Genomic DNA, 26761 nt, shown 5'->3' on the forward strand with positions numbered 1-26761 from the left:
TGGATTTTTTCCACTTATAGATTCATTTTCAGGCCAGAATGTCCCTTCTGCCTGCACACATTCTGCAAATGTTCTGGTCCTTCTCCATGTCAGAGGCTAGGCCAAATGCTGCCTAGTCCATCGAAGTCACTGCAGGGAGAAGCCATTTTTCTCCCTCCAAACAATTGCAGATTTTTGTTGCTGTCAATCTTATAACACTCTGTGCATTCTGTCTTTTATTTCCATGATTGTGTGTGTGTTTCTCATTTCCTCTATTAGATTTAATCATTGCAAGAGCAGGATCTTTCATTTTTATATGAAGCAAATGACTTCTGTGCAGGACTCAGAACTGTGCTCGCAGAGAACAAGAACATAATGCCCATTATTCCTTTTGCAGTTCTCGGTATTTTTTCCACAGTATTTTGACTCTGCAATGACTGTTAAATAAATATATTTTTATTTTTATATATCTAAATTAGCAATTTTACCTTTGTAGCTAAATTATTAATACACTGTTTTTACAGATGAATGAAACTAATTTGCATTGAGGATTTATAAAAGCTATCATTTAGAGCTTTTCCTTTTTAGACAAAAGGGATACATTTCAATACATATAATACATACAAATGAAATGAAACATGGTTGTTATATAACTTTTTCTTTTTTAGACAAAAGAAATAAAATATAGTAAATAAGATATATACAAATAAGATGCAACAATGGATGTTACATATTTAATCAAATATCAGTTAAATGTTCGCAGTGCCACATGGAATAAAGGCAATAGTACAGAAGTAGGAGTTAGAAGACAGCGTATTAACTAAACTCTGCCACTGATAATTTAATAGCCTTTCAAGTGTCGCTTGATTTCTTTATGCCTCTGTGAGATGAAGTTATTGGGCTAGAAGAACACTAGGTTCTTTCCTAGTTCTGACATTTTGTGGTTATAAGAATGTTGGATGACTGAGCATTGGGCACAAATGCTAAGCCATGTGCTTTTCCGTCCACTAATCCTTCCCATTGAATTCATGCGGGCTGAGTCTTTGAATCAGTCATCGGATGACCAACATCATTGTGGGTTCCTATGCTGCATTTGAAACCAGCCTCATCTGTTTGTTGTTCCTTTAGTCCCCCTGTCCCTGACTATTAGCGTAAAGATTAGCCATGATGACTGGTAACTATGGAGTGAAAGGCAGTTGAGTTCATTTAATTAGAACTAGCCCTGCTTTGGTATTAGATGTATTTAAATTTCTAACCTCAACTCTAAGCCGGGTTTTTGGCTCACATTCTTTTCCACCCTGTTATTTCTTTGATGGAGAATTTTAGCCTTTATCTGAAGGGAATGATTAAACAACAGCAAAAAAAAAAAAAAAAAAAAAAGAATGGATGGAATGGGCAAAGCATCACAATTATGAAGTAGTAACTGAGATTGGTCTAACAACTAGGACAAAGGAAGACTGAGAGAAAGAGGATGTAGAAGGAAGATTCAAAGTCAAGGTCAAGAGGGAGACCTTGGTGTGTACAGGAAACATATTATTTTTGTTGAAATAATCGTCAGTGCCTAGACATCCATTTAGTAGATAAGTAACATGTATTGGGCACTTGTTGTGTCTTAGGAAGCCTGCTAGGCATTTTACAAATATTATTTCATTTAATAGAATATCCCAATTAAATAGATATCATTATTAATTCTTTTTACATAAAGGAAACTGGAATTTAGGAAGATTGGATAATTTTTTCCAAATCCCAAGACCACTGAGTGCAGAATACGAATTGGAAACCAAATTGCTGGGCTCCAAGTTCCCATGTGATTATGCATAACCAATGTTCTAAATAACATTGTATTGCTTCACAAATATTAGTAGCCACTCTGATCTGCTGAATGACTACTATATGAGAAAGGTTTAATAAGTGACCTAAGACCATACCACTAGTACATGGCGGAATCAGAATGCAGCATCTATTTAAATCTAAAAATCAAGATCTTTCTACTGTAATTGGACTTTTAAAGGAAAGTAATTTAAAATGTTTTATGTGACTAAGGGATTTGTAACTAATTGATATGTAGGTATCTACCCAGATGACATCAGAACATAGGCAACCTGTTATTAAGGAAAAATGTTCAAATAAGCTAGGAAATCAACTAACAAAGGGCAATATTGTAATAACACACACCAAGAGCAGAGACCAAGATCCTCAAGGGAACATTCAACTTTTCTTTACAATTGTCCAAGAAAGAAGGATCATTTTCCAGCCTGCATACATACTCTTATCTGGTTTATCATGGAGAATGGTAATTAATAATCATATATTGAACTATTTACTCTCTAAAACCATCCACCTGCTTTTGGCTGATTCTTGTTAACTCATCCCTTACATTTCCCTCCCAAGCCAAGACAGTATTAGCAACCTGATTGAATATTAGGTGTGCTTACAAGTTGTATTGTCATTATTAAGGAAAAGTAAGAGGAAAGGAAACCATAATAACTAAATATAACACATGATTCAGAATTAATTTTTAGATAATGAGGGAAAACGCCATAAAAGACATTAGTAGGCCGGGTGCAGTGGCTCACACTTGTAATCCCAGCACTTTGGGAGGCCGAGGTGGGTGGATCACTTGAGGTCAGGAGTTTGTGACCAGTCTGGCCAACATGGTGAAACCGTGTCTCTACACGGAGGCTGAGGCAGGAGAATCTCATGAACCTGGGAGGTGGAGGCTGCAGTGAACTGAGATCACACCACTGCACTCCAGCCTGGGCAACAGAGGGAGACTACATTTAAAAAAAAAAAGGATATTAGAACAATTTGAGAAAAATTTTAAATAGTTTTAAATAGATCATGTATTAGATAATGGTATTTTGTCAATATTAAATTTCCTGAATGAGATAATTGTGCTGTGGTTTTGTGAAAGAATGACCCAATTGAAGGATTTGGGGTAAAAGGGCATGATGTCTAAAAATTATTCTCAAGTTTGTCTCAAAAAAAAGAATGAAAATGATAATGTCAAGAAAGAATAATATTTAAAAATAAGGAACAAAGGCTATACGGGAGTTCTTGGCACTGCTGTAGCAGCTCCTCTAAATGTTTGAAATTGTTTTAAAATAAAAAGTTAAAGGAAAATCAGTTGCCTACCTAGGTCAATTTTGTGTTTTCATATTTAGTGTATTTTTCTAACCCTGATGAATCTTTACATAAGTGACTTGACAAAAAGCAAACAAAATCCTAAAACTCTGGTGAAACACTTCAGCATAGCACTATGGCAGCCTCCTATGAACATGTCTGTAAAACTCAGAGATGTCCATTTTTTAAAAACTAAATTCTTGTGAAACTATTCAGCACATGGCACTAAAGTATTTTATTTTTCTTTTCTTTTCTTCTTCTTCTTTTTTTTTTTTTTTTTTTGAGACAGTCTGGAGTATAGTGGCGCCATCACCACTCACTGCAGCCTCAACCTCCCAGGCTCAGGTGATCTTCCCACCTCAGCCTCCTGAGTAGCTGGGACTACAGGTGCCTGCCACCACACGTGGCTAATTTTTTGTATTTTTTTGTAGAGAGGGATTTTCACCATGTTGCCCAGGCTGGTCTCAAACTCCTGGACTTAAATGATCCAGCTACCTCAGCCTCCCAAAGTGCTGGGATTACATGTATGAGCCACTGCGCCCAGCAACACTAAATGTCCAAAAAGCATTGTTATTCCTTTGGTATTTCTTTACGTGATAAACTTGACTTGCTAGGGAATTGGGAATTAACCTAGATGTTTATGGATGAGACTGTTTTTCTCTGGGATAAACCCACCACCCAGAATCAAAGGGCCAATTAAGAGACATGATCTTGACTTGTCTCAAGCACCCACAGATAATTTTGTGGTTTGGTCTTCAGAGAGACACCACCTCTGCTCTTCCACAGAATGTCAGAATGGTAAGTGAACTCTTTTCCCTCCCTTGTGTCTTGACTCAGGATATTCTCCAGGATGCTACAGTCCTTGTGTCCTACAACAGAAAGCTTTCCTGCATTCCTGGCAGTCACTAAATTCTGGTATCTAGAAAATTTAGTTCTCATTGCCAATTTCCCTTTCAATATATTCTTTCACCACCAGACTGGAAAAGCTCAAACACGTCTCCAGAGAACATTAAAAAATCCCAAGGCATTCTGTTCTTGTGTTAGTTTGCTGAAGATAATGGCTTTCAGCTCCATCCATGTCCATGCAAAGGACACGATCTCATTCTTTTTATGGCTGCATAGTATCCTATGGTGTACATGTAGCACATTTTTTTTTATCTAGTCTATCATTGATGAGCAGTTGGGTTGATTTCATGTCTTTGTTATTGTGAATAGTGTTGCAGTGAACATACATGTGCATGTATCTTTATAAAAGAACGATTTATACTCCTTTAGGTGTATACCCAGTAATGGGATTTCTGGGTCAAATGGTATTTCACATCCTGCACATGTATCCTGGAACTTAAAATAAAATAAAATTTTAAAAAATCCCAGGATAAATCAGTAAATGAAACTCTAATAGCAAATGTGTTTCATGTGAAAATGTAACCTGGTCATGTAGTATACTCTGAAAAAGCCAGGAGAACTAATTTGCAGAATTGCATTTCTAAGTGTTCAAGTGAAATTAGACACTCAAAACATTACACACATTGCCCAGACAAAAGATCTTTTGAGTTCATTGCTCCCTCCTGAATTATGTGAAGAAATGGCTAAAATTCTCTGAGTTGGTTCTATTTGAGTTGGTCACAAGAATTTAAGAAAAACGTTTAACCTGCCTTCCATTTCTTGTTGGCTGTTTCAAAATAAAGCCAGAGGTATGTATTCAATAAAGCCAGAAGTATGTATCCTTAGAAGATAACAACAACAAAAAGACAAAACAACAACAACAACCACAACAACAAAAGAGAAAAAAGAAAAAGAAGAAAACCGAACTAGATTAGACATTTGTGAATGAGTATCTGATACCTGATGTTGTCTCTGCCTAAAAAAGTGAATTCCAACCTCTGTCACTTAGTTTGGTATTCCTGGAGATAAAAATACTTTACCATTTGTACACTGAGGACAATGAGATCATAGTTATGACCGCAAAACTGAATTTTTCAAGATGAAATTTCTTACTGGAATTCCTCTAGCACATGAGCTAATAAGATACTTTTTAACTTTTCAAGGTTTTAAGAATTACTACCTGTATGGCTTTAATATAAATAATGAAATATAATACAAATAATGTCTAGAGACTCAGAACGAGCCAATATAAAACAGATATTTTCTGTTTAATCCTGTAATGTCTTATTTATACAATGAAAATTTTCTAATATTTAAACTTGCTTCTGGCTTTTGTCTTGTTCTGTCCTCTGCTTTCTTTGTTACACATTTTAAAATGTTCTGGTTGCATGCCATTACAATATTAACTTGTCTACCTATTAATTTATTTACACGTGGCTTTAAACACATCTTTTAAAATGTAGACACTGTCTGGCTTTAGGAAAACACAACTCCCTCTGTGTTTGGACACTTTTCCTTCTCATTGTCCAAAGACCTTTCAGTTCTCCCCAAGGCTTTGGTTTCTTCAGTTTTCAAAAGGGTAAACATGTCCCAAATCTTACGAGGTAGTCCAAATTGCAAAGTTTATAGGCCAACATAAGTTTGAAAAACTCTCGAAATGGGAGTTAAATTATTTCCTGTAAAAGAAGCCAATGAACTTCATTTGTTCTTACATTGTTACACTTGACTGCAGCAGCTAGTAGTGTCCTAATAATAGAGGCACTGAAGTGTCTGTTAATGTAAAATGATAAACTTATATAAAATCTGAAAAAAATGTTATCCTAAGTTGCCAAACTAAAAAAATTTTAGAATGTGTATAGTTATACACAAATGTTCATTTCATTTGGGCCTAAATCACTTTGTATATGGAAGCACAACAGAAGAATGAAAACACAAGCAGCAATTCTGTTATGAGGGGGTAAATGTGTAAGCTTGGTGTAGTTTCATGTGGAGGACATTTTTTTCAGCTGCTCTCTTTTGATTCCCAGATCTCTCCTTAGAACTCTAAGGGTTCCCTCATTGCATAGGACAGCAAGGGTTTTTATTTTTATTTTTATTTTTGAAACAGGGTCCCACTCTGTCACCCAGGCTAGAGTGCAGTAGTATGATCATGGCTCACTGCAGCCTCGACCTCCCAGGTTCAAGCCATCCTCCTGCCTCAGCCTCTCATGTAGATGGGACCACAGGTTTGTGCCCCTATGCCTGGCTAATTTTTTTTTTTAAATAAAGGTGGGATTTTGCCCATTGCCCAGGCTGGTCTCAAACTCCTGGGCTCAACAGATCCACCTGCTGTGGCCTCCCAAAGTGCTAGGATTACAGGAGTGAGCCACTGTATTCAGCCCAGCATGGGTTTCTTAATGTTAATTGGTGGTAACTGAGGAGGTGAGGGAGAGGAGACAAAGTCTCTGCTAATTTGGAAAAAAAAAGGGGGGGCTCTATTAAAACTAAGAAGGTTGCAGGACTTCTCGAAACCTATAATATGCTGCCGATGTGCAATCTGAAATTCCAAGAGAGGAAAATATATTGTATAGAATTTTTCCGAATGTTTTTTCAATGGAACATGTCCTGATAAATTTTGTAGAACCTCTTTCCCCTTTATTCATTGCAAATTTGCCCATTATTAAGGTTTATATTCAGTCAAATTTCCTACCTGAGGCCATTCCTGATTCCCTCAGTTAGCCTTCATCATGACCACTTCTGCAAGTCACTACAAGTTTCTAAAATCCTCATTTTTTTTATGACCCCTCCTTTCTGTGGTGCAGGGATTGTGTCTTTATTAACCACTAAATTAAAGATCTTCAGATAATGGACCATTCATTATTCACCTCTTTTCTACAACACTTAACACATACCCAAAACTTTGTAGGAACTCAATAATTGCTTACTGAAGGACTGAGGCCATCTATTTCAGATAAAATCCACTGATTTTGAGAATTCTTTTGGAAAATACAGCATGTTTCTTTACCTATTTGAGAATAGGTGGATTAGACTTTTACTTTTAAATGTACCTTTATGCTCAGTTTAACACTGTTTTTAAGTGACAAGAAGAAATCACTGTAACCAAAACTTGTACTTAAAAAAATTCAAAAGTAACAAGAATCATGCAAGGTTGTTTTTATTAAGCTTTATATTCAGTTTACAGCTAAATATTACAGGGATTATTTCTTTTGACAAGCAGACATGACATCCTAGGAAACTTTTCAAAACAGTCCAAGGACTTTATAACTACTGGGAACAGAGCAATTTACTCTGCAGTTAACGTGTATGTTAAGTACTTCAAGAGTCACTAAGGGAAAGAAGCTAAATGCAACTGTTCCTTTTCTATAAAATTATTATCCTGCAAAAGTAGCTACAAAGGAAAATCACATAACTATGACAAAGCTAGAGAGATCATACATCCGAATTTGTCTTTTTTTATTTAGGATAGGACTTGGGGGTCACATTTCAGAAGGCAAATAATTCTTTCAGAAGAAGCTACATGTCAAGTTTTCTATGGGTAGTATTAATACTAATATGATTTAGCTTATGTTTAAAAAAATCAAGAAAAGAAAAATTTTGTCTTTAAAATCTACTATATTAGTGACTGTAAGGAGATGCTTAGCTATTGAAGAGCTTCTCTCCACTCTTGTATTTTCTTTATGAGTTCTTCTGAGAGATTTTCACTGTGACTGTTTTGACCTCTGTATATTCATGGAAACCGTACTCTCCCCTAGAGAGAAGAAAAACATACCCACAAACACCATTTAGCACAGCAGTATAAATATACTGTAGTTCATGTTTGGTACGAGTTTGTTCTTGTTTTACTGGCTAGGGACAATAGAAAATATTTCTTGTGTACAGAGCATTTTATATAGTAGCTAGCCAATCATAAGATTTCTGGTCTTACACAGATTCCCTTGTGGGGAAAATTTTCTTTAAAACTTTCATTTTAAATAATCATGTACTGTCAGTTGATTTCTCACATAAATTGTCCCCTTTTGACATTATTCTACTTGATTTTAAAAACTCGAACTGCAGATGCAACAAGATCATCTTGGAGAAATGAAAACAAAAAGCTCTAAAACTACTCAAAAGACAATTCGACCCAACAAGAATTTTGTCATTTCTAGTTTAGATTGAAATAAGATGGACATAGGACAAGAGGAGAAGTAGTAATATATGATCACTACAAGGTCTACTCTAGTTCTACAGTTTTATTGTAGTACTAGAGCAGAGCTTGTATTTACCATGTGTGATTGTCATAGAAGTGGTAAGGGGATAGAAATTGATCATGGTTTCATTTTTAGTCTGAGGTGCCCTAAGATGGCTTGAAACAAAATATTTTGCAGCAGTAGTTTCAGCAAAATCTTTTGATTCTTGGCAAAACAAAAACATGACCTTTATTTTTTATTTAAAACTTTTAAATTGTTTTCTTTTTAAGAGGAGGAAGATGATAGATTGGTCTAAATTCAGGCTCTTGGGCTTTTTGCAGTTGTTGTTTTTTCCCCTTTATACAACCTCCTCGTCCCCTACCATTTTCTTGTATAACTCTTAAGTTCAACCCAAATGATCAGGAATTAACTCAGTCAATCAGTTTGGATTTTGGGATCTTGTTATCAGGTTTATGGAGACCTCCCACCAGTTTTAGAAACTGACTGATTTACCCCTTGTTGAAGAGATGACTAAAAAGATTGGGCTCAGTTATTCTCTATATTGTTTTGATAAGAGGATCAAATTACATGTATATAAGAGTAGTCTCAAAATCATAACACTCATGCACATGTAGGCTTACAGAAGAATAAGATCTTGATCCTTTTTTACCCCTCCCTTCTTGTGATGTAGACAGGTATGTAGAAGACATCATTTTCTGCTGGGTAACCTAATACTCTTACACTGATTATTTTCTTGGGCAATTAAGCTTTTGAAAATACCTTTTAAAAGCTTCAGTGAGCATGGTCCTTAAAGTAATTAAAGGGCTTAGCCTCAGTTGTCTGAAACCCATTAAAAGATAATATTTTAATAAGTATTTTATCTCAGGGTTAGATCAATCAACCCATGACTTTCGCCAATAGGCTTTCCATTGTATTTTGGGTCATATAGGCACTTGAAGCTCTCAGGAGAGTAATAAGTGGGATTTTTGTCATATTCAGGCTGAAATATGTCCTGCTCCTTAGGATTCCTATGCCTATACTATATCTACGACATAGCCCCAAACATCTGTTTGGATTTCTCTTCATCTTACTATGTCTGTGAGTTACTGTTTGTATACTTCTAAAATCTTCAATGTACAAATCACCTGGGACCTTATTCAAATACTGATTCTGAATTAGCAGGTCTCGAGTGAAGCCTGAGTTGGCATTGGTAATAAACTTGCAAGTGATATCAACCTATGCTTCTTGTCCAGGGTCCACACTGTAAAAAAAAAAAAGGCACTAGTACCACATTACATCTGATTTCCTCTCTGTACCCAGGATTAAGACTGGCACTAATTAAGTAGGCACAGAAGAACTGTTTGCTGAACACACTTGGTAAATATCAAGAAAAAAAATTCATTTGTGTTCTCACTATACGACCATTAGTTTACACTTCCTTGCTCCCTTTTCTATGGGACAGGAGGAAAAAAATATGGTGGGAGGGGCTAAGAGCCAATCAAGTTTAAAATGGCATACTAGCAAAGTCTTAAAGGACCTACGTTAACCTAAGTGAAACAGTACAGTTACACAAAGGGAGGAATTTCTGTCTTTTAACTAATCCCAGAGCCAACACTATGATCAGAGATGCAAAATCAAGATTTGCATACTCTGTATCACCTTCAAACACACTGGGGTCTGCATAACACCATTTTTCGCTCTTTGAGGACTCTGTTCTCAACTGATCAATTCTCTCTATTGTTGAGGAAAATTTATAATTTAACTCTTGGGAGTCATTTGAGGTTATCGCCTGAGTAATAACTTGTAACTCTTGGAACATCTTGCAGCAAATGACTTGGTTATTAAATTCACCAAATTTGGTTTCAGGTACACTTTAACTGTAGCATTCTCTAGTTGAATTTTTGAAGTAAAAAAAAAAAAACCCACAACTTTTTCCTTTGTATTTGAAAGAAATTATCTATACTCATGTTCTAGATTTTTAGGAAATTACTGATGGTTGATTCCTGTTTTCAGTCCTTCTCTTATTTGATTTCTTTATGCCTTCACCTTAAAGTCTGACCAAATTATGTTCAACGAAATTGACATGTTTGGTCTACTTTAGTCTTGCATTCCTTTTGATTATTTTATCTTTAATGTTCTCAGTGAAATGTGTTGTTAGATAACCAGGCCAGAAACGAACCAACTGCCCTTCAGAGTAATCTAACCTTTGTTCTTACTTTTTGTACAAAGTAATTAGTTTTGCCAAGAGATTCTCCAGTAATAGAAAGAGAAGAAACTAGGGAAGGAAGAAACCCATTTGTTGAATTTACACTTTGTGACAGTTATGTGGCTAGGGATTTAATATTCAGTATGTCATTTAACTCCCACAAGAACTCTCATTCCATCTTAAGAGGAATGTGAACATCTCCACCAAATATGAGAAAGTAGAGGCTCAGAAGTTAGGTAGCTTGAACTGGGGTGCATGGCTAGCAAGTGGCAGAATTAGGAATCAAATTCAGCTGGTCAGACTCCAGTAATGTTTTCTCAGCTACGCCATGCATTTTTGATGGGCTAACTTTTTGTTCTACTTCAGCAACATCCTAAATATATCCATGGCTTTTCACTACTCCACTAATAAAATCTAAGTCAAATTTCTTAAATGCAGGACTTCTTAATCTGTATCATATGTTACTCTGAAATCATATTTTTCATCCCCATAAATCCACACCAATCAACAAAATTCACTAGCCCCTCAACATACCACATGTAATGTTCCATGCAAGAAAGCCCTCTTCTCTACTAACTGATATCCTACACTTGCTTTCTGCCCTAGAGGAAGTTTCATCTCTTCTGTTAGGAGAAGTTTTCTTCTCTATAAACTGCCATTAAGTTTTCAACCACTGGATTTCCAGTGGGGTCAGAACTATAGAATCTTAAGCATGGAATAGAGGTTAAAAGATCTATTTTCTTCTTCCACTCTTATCCACACTCACAATCCTTGGCCTTGTCTGACAGATGAAAATAGTGATGGTTAGAGAGATGCCATCCTGACTCTTATACTCTGGTAGTGTCTAGGTTTTCTTCAATACTTTGCTCGGTACTTTAATTGCTTCTCTACCTCCATAGGATATGGAATCCCAGTGTATTACTACTTATTTCATAGTGTATGTAGGTTATTTTGCATGTCCTGCCACCACAGCTATGTAGAGCATGGAACATGGTGTCATGTCTCTGGGGTTCCTAGGACCTTACACATAGCAAGTGCTTAATAAATGAAAGCATATTGAGAAAGTAGACTGGTCATTTTATAATTCTCCCATTTCACTGACTCTTCAGAGATATTTGTTTCCTTGTAATTTTGCTGATTTGTTAGAGTACGGTACTCAACCATTTAATACATTTAGAGATTGAGAAAGGCACATTTTCACTTCCTAATTACAAAATGAGCAAGTTTACGATCTGTGTTTGATACTATAAGGTTTCTATTTCTTTTTTCTTCATAAATGTTTACATTAATACATGTAAAAAAGTTTTAAGAAATAAAATGACTAAACTTGCCTAAACAAAATCAACTAAGCATATTGCCACTACTTTCTGTATTTACATATATATGTGCATACTTAAAAAGTCTATATACCCTAGTTTCAAAAGCAATTGAAATTTCATAAATGCATTTATATATAAATATTCTTAATCTAGTCACTACTATAAAACATGTTTTCCTCAAATTTCCTTTTAGGTTTAAGTTTTAATACTAAAAATAACTTCTTATGGTAATAAAAAATGTTAAAGTCTACATCAATAATATCTCAACAAATGGGAATCATTCCTCTTACACTGAAATTTCCTTTACATAAGTCACCTAATTTACTTATTTAAATGGTTTATTCAAATAACTAGAGTGTTTACATTTGCACCTTTCTTGCAATCACCAATGCATAGTTTCCACCTCTTTTCTGGAAATGTTTCCCAAATGGATTACATTCATATATATAGCAAGCAATTCTAAAAGCAAGCAGTATTACAATCACCAATGTAAGTTGCTTAATATAGTCCCTAAAATATAGTAGGAATTTAGTAAATTATGTTGCTGTTCTGCAATCACCTTTTGCACTTATGGAGTACATCCCACATTTAATAAGCTATTTGGTGCTATGAATCTCCAGGAAAGAACAGAGGCAGGTTTTATGTAAGGTGAAAACTATGAGTTAATTCCCTGGGAATGAAAATCATTTTCATAAAAATAAATATTTATCTTAATAGAACGTTAATCTTACAGTTCTCTTCCATTTCCAGACATCTTGAATCCACCAAAGGGGCACTGGGCACTTACCACGCCATAGCAATTCACCCTGAAGGAAAAGAAAAGTGCATTATAGACAATACTTAAGGTGTGAAAAAAAAATCCTTTTTGGCAGTTTTAGAAATTTGGAAAGCTCCTTACAAACTCCATTAATTTCATTATAACATACTCATCTTGATAAAAAAAAGTAGCACTATAAATTAGAATGCAGACATATATGGATACACACTACCTAGAAACAAATAGAATAGTGCAACTATATATATGGATAGCCATTTTGGTCGTACATTGTGTCCCTGAGAAGTGGTAGTCTGAATTTATAAAAGATAGAATAGTCACTATGCTGTAGGGGGAAAGATATGGTTTGCTAGAAGCTAGAATTTGTTGGATCAGTATTCATTACTGCTTATATATGGATCAGCTTGTAATTCTCTTGATGTTTCTGTACTTAACAGGCTAGAATCAATTTTCTTTTGCAATTGTAATATGTATCATATTACTCAGTTAATTTTTTTTCCCATTAATTGGTTAAATAAATTGCTTAAACAGAGGCCTTGGCAGGAGTTGGGTTTAATTATAATTTATTCCCTGTCATATTTCATAAAGTGTTTAAAGATGCTTATATAAACAAACATAATTACATGAATAGTAGTAATTAGAATCCAACAAAAAATTACAATAGAAGATCTAGATGGGGAAAATTAGAATGCAGTTTTGCAGACCATAAACAATTTGTTTAGCTTTAAATTTGCTGGTGGCCAAAAGTTAGCAAAATCTAATTATTTACCTGATTCTCATTATACGCAAGAGAAAAACACTTTTTAAAGGAGATTTATGTTTATACTTTTCTCTCCCTTCATGCTATTTTAATAAGTGGACAAAAATGTGGCTTCCAGAGCCTGGGTTAGTAGCTGGAGACTGAGGCAGGAGGATCACTTGAGCCCAAGAGTTTGAGACCAGCCTGGGCAACATAGCAAACCCTTGCCTCTACAAAACAAATTTAGAAAACCAACCAAACAAACAAACAAAAAACCAGGGTGGCTTCCAGATAAATTGTATTATACTTTGAAGGTTTGGTCATTACTTTTATCCTGAGATAATATTCAGATGTTTTCTTTGTTAAAACACTATCCCAGTTCCCGAAGTTCCACATTCTCACTGGACCATAAAGTTCTTAACTATGTCTCTCATCCTGGAGGGATAATTCCTTTAATAAATTTACACTTACAAAAGGCAGTATTGTCTCAGCTTTGTTTAATTGCCCTTTAAATTGCAAAATCAAATACTACTTTGAAATTATGAGTAAACTTCCTGCAACTCTGGAGTTCAATAATTTTCCTGAAAACACCAAGCAGCTATTAGGTCTGGGACAATGCCAGAAAATTATTATCTTCTAGGATATGTAGTAACAAGATGGTCCCCTCTGTTTTTCATAATAGAGGAAATTCCTGATCAGGGATTCCCAAGACCCTCAGTGGGGTGATGTCATAACAAGCTTCATCAAACAAGCATGGAACATTCTGCTAGTCGAAAATACAAAACTGAAATTTGTCTTTGTTAAAAAGTGCAGAGAGTAAATTTGCTCATTTTACTGTCAACTAGAAATGAAACTATTTTACTGTGAATTAACAGGGAACTGAGAAATGTTCACTTGGCAAAAACTTTGAGTTCAAAATGTTATCTGTCTTCTGCAAGCGTTTCCTCATGTGTAAAGTGGGGATGATAATATTTAATAGGATTGTTTCAAGGTATGCGTAAGATTGCGTGAATAGTATTCTTGTTGTAGTACTTGGTATAAATATCTTCAGTAAGTGGCGATAATATACATACACACAGTAACTATGCTGAATTTTATTAATGCTTTTATCATAGGCAAATTCTATATTCATCACTAGCTATACCGACTATTCAAGAAGAACTTGCTGAATTTTATTTAAGAGTCTCCCATTAGGCCCACTTCCTATTGCTGTTACAATGGCATTTAAATTGCCACATGGGCTTTGGAGGAGAAATTTAAACTATACACTGATATAATTTGTGTTAATGTATACCCTCCCCTGCCCCAAATCAGTTTATACATTTTTAAAGCCCCCGAGATGATTCTAATGAACAGCCAGGGCTGAGAACCACAGCCTTAGAATATTGTATAGGTCCAGGCCAGCATGGTGGCTCAGGCCTGTAATCCCAGCACCTTGGGAGGCCAAGGCGGATGGATCACTTGAGGTCAGGAGTTCGAGACCAGTCCGGCCAACATGGTGAAACCCTGTCTCTACTAAAAAAAGAAAAAAACAAAATACAAAGATTAGCTGGGCTTGGTGGTACATGCCTGTAGTCCCAGCTAGTTGGGAGGCTGAGGCAGGAGAATCACTTGAACCCAGGAGGCAGAGGTTGCAGTGATCCAAGATCGCACCATTGCACTCCAGCCTGGGTGACAGAGTGAGACTCCAGCTCAAAAAAAAAAAAAAAAAAAAAAAAAAGAAGAAAGAAAAGAAAAGAGAGAAAGAGAAAGAGAGAGAGAGAGACGAAAGAAAGAAAGAAAGAAAGAAAGAAAGAAAGAAAGAAAAGAAAGAAGAAAGAAAGAAAGAAAGAAAGAAAGAAAGAAAGAAAGAAAGAAAGAAAGAAAGAAAGAAAGAAAGAAAGAAAGAGAATATTGCATAGGTCTGATCTAGGTGTGACTTAGTGTTGGGAAGGAAAATAATCTTGTGCTTTTTCCAGGACTGAGGGGCCAAAATTAGGCTAATGGGACCAAAGTGACCAAAGACATAGTCTAGAGACTGACAGCTGAGTACAGAATGCAACAGTTTGAGAGGCACAGACTTCATGTTTATATCCTCTTGATTAAAGTATAAAAATAAGAGATATAAACTAGGTCAAAAATGGGAGAGGGAGGGTATCTTCAAAATTCAATCTTTCAAAAATAACTTCAATTATCTCTAATAATCCTAGAGTAAGAAGGCCGATATAAGAATATCTGCATACACAAGGGTACCAAGTAAATATTGTTCTTACTCTTTTACCTCCCTGTATACAGCATAGTACCACGTGCTCAGAAATTACTTGGCAATTCTTATATTGTATTAATCAAACATCAATACAATATTTTTGGTAAGCAATTTCAAGAAGCTAGATAAAGTTAAAGAAAATATCCTCCCTAAAGTTCTTCCAATACAGCTTTTTTTTTTTTTTTTTTTTTTTGAGACGGAGTTTTGCTCTTGTTGCTGAGGCTAGAGTGCAATGGCATGATCTCGGCTCACTGCAACCTCCGCCTCCCAGGCTCAAGCAATTCTCCTGCCTCATCCTCCATGTAGCTGGGATTACAGGCATCACACCCATCTAATTTTTGTATTTTTAGTAGACATGGCGTTTCACCATGTTGGCCAGGCTGGTCTCAAACTCCTGACCTCAGTCAGCTGATCCACCCACCTCAGCCTCCCAAAGTGCTGGGATTACAGGCATGAGCCACCGCACCCAGCCTTTTGTTTGTTTTTCAAGGCAGCAACTGCTTTTCTAGAAGGATAGGTAATTCCAAATGAAAAATCCAAGTCTGAAAAAGTTCAAGGTAGTAATCTGTTAATGTGGTTATTACTGAAAAGGCTACATTCCTTAGGTTGGACTTACCACACTGTTCCTGCCTGCAGAGCAGAGGAGATTGTTATGGCTTTATCAATGTCTTTGGTAAACACTCCTGCTGATAAGCCATAGAAAGTATTGTTTGCTCTTTTGATCACGTCATCTAAAGATTTAAACTTCATGATTTGCTGCACTGGTCCAAAAATCTATACCACAAGAAATAAATAAGTAAAAATAATAGGTTAAAATGAAATATTTTAAATGATATCGTAGATTTTTTTTCCTACACGCTATCCTAAATTGATTAAGATTTTGCTTCTCATCTCAAACCTATGTGTGAGAATCCAAATAGGTAACTGCAAAAATGGTAGGTGAAAACAGATAATGGTCAGGTGTTAAATTTCCTTTGGAAGAAGAAAGGGTACAAATAATTAAGGCAATATTAAGTTTCTAGATGTTGGAATTAAGCTTTCAAGAACTTATGATTGTGCAACAAATCATTAACTTCAGAATTTCTTTTTCACTTGGGAATATTTTAAATTCACTCTCTAGTTTTTCTTATCTTCCAAGTCACTACACATAGTAACAAGTCCCAGAAAGCAATCTACTGGATAAATGAATAGGCAATGATAATCTGCTGGATAAATGAATAGGCAATGATTGATAATAATAATGCTTTAAATACCTGTATGCCATTGGTAAAATATTAACTATTCTACTGTACTCAGTAGAATAGTTACTAATTACTTTTCATAATTAGCCAAGTTAGGTAAACATCACGAACTTTTAGTCTACTCTGTAGCAAAATCTTAGGCAACTTAAATATATCAAACAGAATTGTTCCTTACTGCAAGAGCTTATACATTCTAAACCATCCTATTCTAATCAAAGCATGAGTTCATTGGTAATGGCTATAATTGCAGGACAGAAAACAAAAATCACAATTTGCTTATTCTAACGTAAAGTACTCTTTTGCTTTCACTAAGTTCCTGGTTACTGCAGCCCAAACTCAATTCACCCTGTATCTCAGCCTCAGGTAAAAGAAAGACAACTGGATTTTCTCTTTAAAATTAAGCTCCTGCATTTCAATAAAATATTTATTAAGATCAGATAAAGATTCCTGAAATTACCAGAATTTTCTGGGAAATCTGAATGAAGGAAGACAAAAATCAGAAATGACAAAGAGTTTTCTGGTGTTCACCACTGATTTAAATGTTAGAAGGGAGGGGCTGCTGTTCAATAGAGGTTGAGTGTGAATCTTAACGTTATAAATCTAATCCTATTTGAACATAGGAACCATATACACAGCAGCTACTCTAATAAATGTGTTCATATTTTACATAATTTTAATTGAACACAGCACATAGCTCCAGGCTCCTACTTTGAAGTAGCAAGCTAGCTGTTCTACTGTATATTAATATATTATAGGAACACAATAAATGTTTCCTTAATTGAAGATTTTTTTCCACGTCTTATCTGGTATTAATCAAGATATGCAAGAATGACAGCTCATTTTTTTTCTAATTTTGTATATTGTAGTTAAATACTTGGTGAGCATATATATAATGTATATACACATTATATATGTATACAGACACACATATATACACTCACCAAACACTTAACTGCAATATACAAAATCAGGAAGTCTAACAGCTGAAACAAATAGGACTAAGAGCACATAGAAGGTAGGGAGTGATAGAGGGGATGAATGCTGTTTTCAAATACATGGATGGCTGTTATATAGAAAGAGTCTATAGGGCAAAGGTGGAACCAGAAAGTAGAACCTATATATTTATCTCTTTTGTGGTGAGAACACTTAAAATTGACTCTCTTAGCAATATTCAAGTATACAATACATTGTTATTAATTACAGTCAGGATATTTACGATAGCTCTCTTGAACTTACTCCTCCTAATTGAAAGTTTGAATCCTTTGACCAACATTTCCCAACCCTCATCCTCCACTCCCCCAAGCCCCTGGTAACCACCATTCCAATCTCTGCTTCTATGAGTTCTACTCTTTGAGATCCCACATAAAAGTGAGACCCTGCGGTATTTGTCTTTTTATGCCTGTCATATTTCATGGAGCATAAATTTTCCAGGTTGTTGCTGCAAATGACAGGATTCTTTTCCATTGTTTTAAAGCTGTGAAGGCAGCACCTGAAAATTGTTAAGCATCCAGATCTGTGTTGGCTGAACATTTGTGGCTGGCCCCATGGATCCCTTACTACTTTTTAGTATCTATCACAAATAACTTAAACCTCTATCAAGAACAGAATAAAGAGTAAGGTTTAGAGGGAAAGATGTTCCAAAGAGCTGGGAATTTTAAAGTGACACTTTGTATACACACAAACAGACAAAACATGGCAACAAAAAGAACAGAACAGAATGAAGCCATTTACCTCCTCTTTGGCAATGCGCATCTCATCTGTAACATTAGAGAACACTGTGGGCTGGACAAAGTAGCCTTTATTCCCCCACGGGCCTCCTCCACATTCCAGTTTGGCCCCTTCTTTCTTCCCACTCTCAATGAGGTCAAGTATTTTATCATATTGTTCCTTGTCAATCTATTTGAAAAATATCACATGAAAAGAAAAAAAGTAGTCACTTGTAAAGATAACACATTGCTGGGCCTGTTAACAAGGGCTTCAAAATGCTAAAATATTGCAATTAAACCAAATATTGAATCGAAACAGCTAACAGAGGTTCAGATTCATTCTTTGGATATATTTTCTTCTCATGACTTTTAGGGGAAAATCTCTTGAAGACAGATATTTGTATTTAACATTTGTTTTATAGTTATATAGGAAAGCATTCAGCACTGCAAACACATAAAAAACACATAAATGACAATCATCATTTATTCACTCTGGAAGAAATGCCTGTTAATCTAAATACATTTACCTGGAAACTATTGTCCCGGCTGAAATGAAAGGAGGGAAAAGAGAAAAACAGAACTTTGATACTGAGTTTAATTAGATCTGTTGGGAAGCAGATGCTTTAAGACTGTTCTTAGAAGACTCCCGAGCCTCTGTTTGATCTCCCCATTTCTGAATCACCCACTCTGACCTGTCCGATGCCCTTGGATATCCCATTCTGACCATAGTCTGCGCACCCTTCCCAGTTCTGGTCCCACTGGGGCAGTCAGTAAATCTGCTTCCAATTTCTGGCCTGTCCTGAATGTCACCATCCTGCTTCATTAAATGAGCCACATCTAACTATGTGCCAAGTATTACAGAACTTAAATCGTCTTTATTTAAACACTATTTTTATAAGGAAAATAAATGAGTTTGGAGTTCTGGTTGTGAACACCAGGAACACGTACCTCTTCAAGCACTGAAATCTGGGGCTAATTTTTGTCTCAATTTCTATTTTGTGACATTGAATAACTGGGTGACTCTTGGATTCCAAGTAACCGGTGAGGGCTGCCTATCTCAGGTGTAGCAGGGGTTAAGGATTAAAGGAAAAACAGGAGATCTAGGAGCTAAGATGGGTTGGAGGGTGGAAGCTCTTGTAGGTTTAACTTCCCACTACTTGAAAAGTTTTATGTTTCACTTTCTCTTACTCTTCTCTGACTCTGCAAATCTTCTTTATCTTCCAAAGCCAAGAAAAAGCTTCCATAAAGTTATTTCTAACTGAATACAGCTCAGCCCCCATATCTAACTAGATTAAGCACTATTTGAAACTAGAAACTATTTTCTAAAATTTGGCACAATATTTGGTACAATGTTGCTCAACAGTCTTTAGTGCAATATTTAATATAATATCCCAGAAGGAAAATATTCCTTCATTTCCAGCAGATTAAGAAAAAAATAGTGTTAAGAAGAAATATTTAAATTACTACATAGGTTGAATAGTAGCAGACTAAGGGGTGGGGTGAGATAAATTCTGCCTGGGTAAGGTATTCTAGTTTCTCAATAAATAGTCAAGGGTCCATGTCACTCCACATAAAGCTTTCTGTCTTATTGGAACATATTAATCTGACTATGCCCTCAACATCATGATATCTGGTTTTTATTTCAAGATGTATTTCCCAAGTCATGTTTTCCTGTCTGTGACCACGTTGAATAACCAGTGCCAATCAAATCCCTGCATACATACTGGAGAAAAGGGCTGAAAAGCCTTATTTGTTGGAAAACTTAGATGGTCGCTAACTTATAAAACTACAGGCCTTTGTATTTCAGTGCCTTGCTACCGACAATGTGGTCCTACAACCAGCAGTTGTGGCATCACTTGGTAGCCAAATGTGCTTCTTTGACCCCACCTCAGATCTACTGAATCCCCGGGCACAGGAAAGATTGAGGAACACTGTGGTGGAGCTTGGGACTACAAACAAAAAATTAGGCTCTACTTAGAGACTGGTCAGTTTTGTCTGGCTAATTTTGATTCACCACAAATACAGACCTTCTTCAGAAGGCATCAGGCTGACCATATATAAACTTGACCTTCTTTCTGGACACCTGGGACTGTCCAATAATGCTAGGATGTAGCTGGGGCTCTTTCATGTGATGGGCCATTGGCCTATGGGCTAGTCTATGAAATGTATTAGGTAGGTCATGATATGGTAACAGTCTCAAAGGAAACATTTTAAGGTGTTTGAATGGGTAAATTCTTTGATTCCTTAGGCTTAATGGGTTAAAGAAGATGAATTGGGAAAAAGCACTTACATGTTCTCAAATTATTCAGAAACCATGTATCAACAAAAGCAATGAATAGATATAGAAGTAATTGATCTGTATGATAATTGTCACCATGGGTATAAATGGAAGCATGTAATTTTTATTTATTTACTAGACATTTGAGCATGTGGACCAAGCACTCTGATGGATACATTTTATAGATTATCCAATTGCACTGCAGAATTATTCTTCAAGATTGAGGTTTCTATGCACATTCTACACATAAGACAATAGTTTCAGGGAGGCTGGATTTTAAATCCAGTTTAAATCCTATATAACTGTAACTCCAAAGTCCATCTTTCCACACTATTATAAGGTGCTACTCTGTGATAATTTTAGTATCGTTTATGTGGCTATCACAATTTCTGTTTCAAATGAAAATACTAATTTTTCCAAGTTTAAGACAATATATATTTTTTCTATAAAGTCAAATAGGAAAATCACTTGAAATATGAAAAAGATACACACATGAATCCACAGATATAATACAAATATGCAAAGTATATATATATATTTTGTAATTGCTCTAACCCCCAAATAATTTGTAATGTTCAAATTTTTTTAAACTTTAATTTTTTCCCCTAAAACAAATCGTTTTGACCATTATTTTTTCTATAACCTTTTTGATGTTATATTTAATGAGGAAGATTCCATCATTGTATTTAAAAGCCTCAGTTCACTCAACCACCCCTGGATGAGGCAATAGGCTAAAGCTTAGTGAGTGAGTATCCCCTTTGCGTAAGTTTTTTCTCCTAACAATAGATGAATATTTAATGGTAAAGGAGCCCAGGGCTTTTTAGTCTTTTGTTTCTCCAAATTCTAACATACCTACTTATCCTACTGACTCAATGGAACTTGTGATAAAAATCTATTCACTTATAGAAACTAAATTCTTATATTAATCAGATCACTGGATTCTATTCATTTATAGAAACTAAATTCTAGATCACTGGATTATTTACTTTAGAATCTTACAAATAGGAATTTTTAAGTCTATTTTAACTTCCTTATCTTAAAATCAATGAGGTATTCCAGCTCAATTTTTGAGTCTTTGGTTGAATTGTGAAGATGTCCTAATGGAGGAAAGTACTGCCCAACAATTAGGCATTAGGTATCTTAGGTATTCTCTCCTCTCTTCAGATCTATCAATCAATCATCCATCAATCCATCAACAAAATAAGAAAAGTGCTTCACTTTTAGTTAGATAGATAAATAATCACAACAAAAAACATAGAATTCCATTCTTTTTTGAAATGGGAGACCAAGTCAAAACTGATTTGAATATATCTCTTGGCATCCATATACCAAATATGAAAAAAAGGGCAACTACTTTTAAGTACTCATTAAACTCAAAGACAAATACAAAATATAATGGGATTAAGATAAAACAAAGTATTACCTCACTTGCCGCTTATTTTAGGGCCTTTAGATTTCAATATGTTACACTGCCTAAGTCCTAAGATTTTCCTACTTGGATGTCTTGAGATGAACAGGAAAATCCAAGACTGTCCAACTTACTTGGACTGTAAACTCCATGAGGTCCGGGATCAAGTCCTCTTTGTTCTTTTTGGCATTGCCAGGTACCCATCTCAAGTTTTAGCTGATAGCAACGTTCACTAACTTTTAGTTAATTGAATTTACTTTTGGCTTAGTGAATGAGTCAAGAATAGCGTTTGGTTTCAAATTGACAGCACGCATCAGTGTAAAACCTTTATTGTGAAAGAACAGAGCCTCTAAGCTTAATGTCTAGACTCCAGAGCAGGATTTCTCGGCAGTTGTCCTGTTGGCATTTTGGGCCAGATAATTCTTTGTCATGGGGCTGTCCTGGTCACTGCAAGATGTTTAGCAGCATCTCTGGCCTCTACTCACTAGATGCCTGTAGAGCCACCGCTTCTCACCAAGGTAGTGACAACTTAAAATATCCCTAGACATTGCCAAATGTCCCCGGGGTGAGGGGAGCAAAATTGCCCCAGTTTAGAATCACTGCTCTAGAACAAGACCCAAAGGGCAGGAAGAAATTCACAACCAAAGATCCAGAAGCTTAAACAAACAATGAACAGAGAACTATGCAAGGAAGAGGGAAAGATGATCTTTGGATAAGAGAGAGAGAGACCTTTACTGATAATAAAGTCTACAAAGAAAACTGAGTGCCTAGGGGAATAATTGGGCTTTAACAACTGAAATACGAAGTTTGCCGCAAAGGAAACTCAGGACATTTTAGGACCCCATGCTACGATTAGGGGGTCAGAGTAACCGATGACTTGCAGAGGATTTAGGGGAGTGCTGGTTATAACTGTGGGATGGCTGTGGAGATGAAGGATTCAGGAGGAAAAAATGGTAGGAATGTATAAGAATTTCAAAGTGGACAGAGAACTGTATATAGGAATCAAGAGGTGTGCAGATTGAGGAAAGCCAAAAATGTAGAACATTTGTTATTTTTCCTCATGTCTTTAATTCTCAGCATGGCCGGTAAACTGTTTCTAGACATGAAAACTGGGCAACACAAAAACAGGATGATTTCATTCTCACTGGGAGTTAGATTGCTTTTAAACACCAAACTGGCACAGCATTGTCACCTAGGAAGGTGTGCAGATGGGAAGTAATCTTACTCAATAAAATCTAGGTCTAAAGAGGATACTTTATTCCTGTGCCCTGAAAATGCTATCCTTTCTATTTTATACTTACCTGAGGGCCTTGAGTGACTCCTGGGGTCAGAGGATTTCCAAGGATATACTTCTTAGCCCGCTCAACACTCCTTCGAACAAACTCATCATAAATTGATTCTTCCACAAAAATCCTGGATGCGGCTATACAACACTGGCCCTGGTGGTAGAATACCCCATGGTGTGCAAATTCAACAGCATTGTCCACTGCGAAGAAGACATTCACATTAAAGATATATTTTATAAAAATTATATATTTTATATGTTTCTCAGAGGCAACATGGAGATAAAGAAAAATTATGAGTTGTGTAGTCAGACATGGGCTCAGTATAGTTTACCTCCTACCAGCCAGGTGGCAAATTAATCTTTCTGATCCTGCATTTACCATGGAAAAAATAGAAACATACAGAATCTGAAAAAATAGTGGTTACTATTACAACTTTAATATGGACATCACCAAGAATGTAGATTTGATCATGAGACCAAATCTCTTTGGAAATGATTTATATAAATATCTCCAATTATATAATTAGATGATTGTGATTATTTCTTTCAGGCCCCAGATTTTAAACAGATAATAAAAAAAACCTGACATGTCTATCGAATTAAATAATTTCAAAAGATTCTTAAATACTCTACTCAACAGGAAATGTGATCTTTGTGGGAAAGAAAAACAAAATAAAACAAAAACAACTAAAAAGTAACAAAAAACACTAATACTCAGAATCACTCACTCACCTTATGATTTTATTCCATCAAAGACATTTTCAAAATCTATCTAAAGTATACCGTATTATTTCATATGTGCCTATAAACTCTTATTTATTTTAGGCGATAAAATGTGCATTAAAAGGAAGAAATAGGTTGCTTCCTTAGTAGACTCTAAACAAGAATAAAATTTTCTTTGCATTTTAATTTTCTAAATGCTGAAGATTCAATTCAATGTTATAGCAACTGGGTATGATTATTATTTATTTTGTGAACTAATTACATCTGCTTAAGTTGTAGCAGAAGCAGTTTATAGACAGTCTTAGTAAAATTAGAAATCTTTCATGTTTATAGAATATTTCATAAGGTAGTGTGTTCTAAAATACTTCAATTAAGATCAAAACAGCAACATAGGCTAATTCCATGAACCATTTGTATTTACAGCCTCTAACAGATAATGCAGTTGTGAAAGAAAAAAGAATGTTTGACCATGCATTTCTGCTAATTAACTTCTATTTAGGAAATAATTGGGAAATTCTACTTGGTAATATAATCAGAATGAACCTAAAATATTATATAGTGGGGTTATATCAAATTTGTAGGTTTAATGTACATAAACTCCACTATACTTGCTAGGAAAAAATATTTAAATATTAGGTATAATTTTCTTCTGATCATTTCATTTAATGAGTGTATGACCCAGAGTGAAGGGAGAGGGCAAATGTGAAACTGCTGTCTCCTCAGTTGGTCTCAATCCAAGTCCCATTCTGGAGTATCTCATTAGCTCAATGAAATGCTAATAATCACAGATATGGAATTTAAAAAATACACCATGGCATTTAAATGCAAAATGTTTACATCATCTAGGGTTCAGCTGAGGAAATAGCAATCTATTCTAAACGAGGAAGAAATTGTGTCTATTATCTATGTGTTATAACTTTAGGATGATTTAAGAGATTTTCAAGAGTAATTTTGGACTCTTTACACTTTGATGTTAGAAGCAAATGCTTTTTTTTTTTTTTTTTTTTTTTTGTAAAGTTCAAGTTCACTTTTGGCATTATCAGACACCAAAAACGATGAAGGACGAAAAGTTAACAAAGTGGTTTCTACTCACAGTCGGCATCAGCTAACACAATGCAAGGGCTCTTTCCTCCAAGCTCCAGGGTCACCCTCTTCAGATTGCTTTTCCCGGCAGCTTCTTTGATCAACTTGCCAACCTGAAAGGGAGCATTACAAAGGAGGAGGCTTACCCTGCTCTCATGAACACAGGTTGCTTTAGCATTCTAAATTTATGTGATGTTTGTGCCACAGTAAAATTTCATTTGGGAGAAACACCAAATGGCTTTTTTTTTTGAGACGAAGTCTCACACTGTCGACTGGGCTGGAGTGCAGTGGCGCAATCTCGGCTCACTGCAACCTCCGCCTCCCGGGTTCAAGTGATTCTCTGGCAAATGGCATTTTTAAAGATCTGGCACTTTTAGATATGTAAAGCTCCCTCATCCAAGCATACAGACATAAAAGGAATCAGAAAAATGCTGATTTTTCATCAGCAAGAAAGCAGAGATATAGAACACGGATAAGTGATATTGATGGCTACGGAGGTTATTTTTAATTTTAATCAGAATATCATCTTTCTACAGATTGATCAGACTTATCATGACCCAGTCGCAACTTAGCTATTTCATTTTTTATCCCTCTTCTGGCATCCAGATAACTCTATCCAGTCAAACTGACATATTCACTACCTCTTGAATCTCATCCTTCTTCTCATTATTTGTCCACCCCAACCTGGACTGCCTTCAAGTTCTATTTTTCTTAGGGGTCCAGCTCATATCTTAGCTTCTCCTTAAATCCTTCTCTGATGACACTAGGTCAGATGCTAGAAGAAATGACAGGACCATTTCTTTTTCTAGTCTCCCAAAAAACCTCATGAAGTCTCCTTCAGAGTCTGATCCAGATTGTATTATTTGTATAGAAATACATTTCCCAAATAGATTGTTAACTCTGTGGTAGCAGTAACAATAACGTATCACTGCATACCTCTCCTCATTAGTATCTATGACAGAAGGCTCATTTAATTGCGGATTGACAGTCGTCTCTCTATCTCTTTCTTTCTCTGTCTTCCCACCCAACACACACACCTTTGAACAGTGGAACTGGATGAAAGAAATGGGATCTGTGCAGCTACTTCAGTTAGCTGGAATCCTACAGTTCTGGTTTCTTCTTTAATGCTAGTTTTCCCTTTTCAGAGGAAGACTTTGTTTTCAATTATTTTTTCCTTTGTGGATCACTTCCCATCAAGATTATTTACTATAGTTGTTTCTGGTTTTTCTATCTCTAAAAACTTGGCTGGTTCTACAATTATTTCTTTTTTATTATTTGTATGGCAGCCTTAATCCACCAACATGTTCTTTGCCTTTCTTTTTTAAAGGCAATTCACTATTTTGCTTCTTTTATTTTCTAGGTTTCTTTTTTTTACTCTGCATGTCAGATTTTAATAAAAAGTTTCTATCCCAACTGAACAAGAGAGAAATAGATGTTTCGTGAGTGTATGTTTAGATTTTATGTGGTTACTGAACTAACTGCTACTGTGAATTACAGAATAGGGCATTAATATGCTAATGTTTTCCTCCTATTTAAATATTTTATGTTTCTAAATCAAACCCCTAAAAGATTAATAAAAAATAAATTAAAAGGAGAT

At 35.5% G+C, this 26761-nt stretch overlaps 1 protein-coding gene across 1 annotated transcript in view; it reads right to left on the minus strand.

Moving 5' to 3' along the window:
• The window catches only part of ALDH1A1 (aldehyde dehydrogenase 1 family member A1), a 52383-nt gene continuing 32747 nt past the window's right edge, over positions 7126 to 26761 (minus strand). Inside the window, exons 8-13 of the mRNA NM_000689.5 lie at positions 25175 to 25277; positions 23375 to 23559; positions 18413 to 18577; positions 16057 to 16214; positions 12413 to 12487; positions 7126 to 7735 (exon numbers count right to left, since the gene is read on the minus strand). Coding sequence (NP_000680.2) covers positions 7663 to 7735; positions 12413 to 12487; positions 16057 to 16214; positions 18413 to 18577; positions 23375 to 23559; positions 25175 to 25277 — 759 coding nt within the window. The 3' untranslated portion in view covers positions 7126 to 7662. The remainder of the gene's footprint in view (positions 7736 to 12412; positions 12488 to 16056; positions 16215 to 18412; positions 18578 to 23374; positions 23560 to 25174; positions 25278 to 26761) is intronic.

Source organism: Homo sapiens, chromosome 9 (assembly GCF_000001405.40).
Source record: "Homo sapiens chromosome 9, GRCh38.p14 Primary Assembly".
Taxonomy (NCBI): domain Eukaryota; kingdom Metazoa; phylum Chordata; class Mammalia; order Primates; family Hominidae; genus Homo; species Homo sapiens.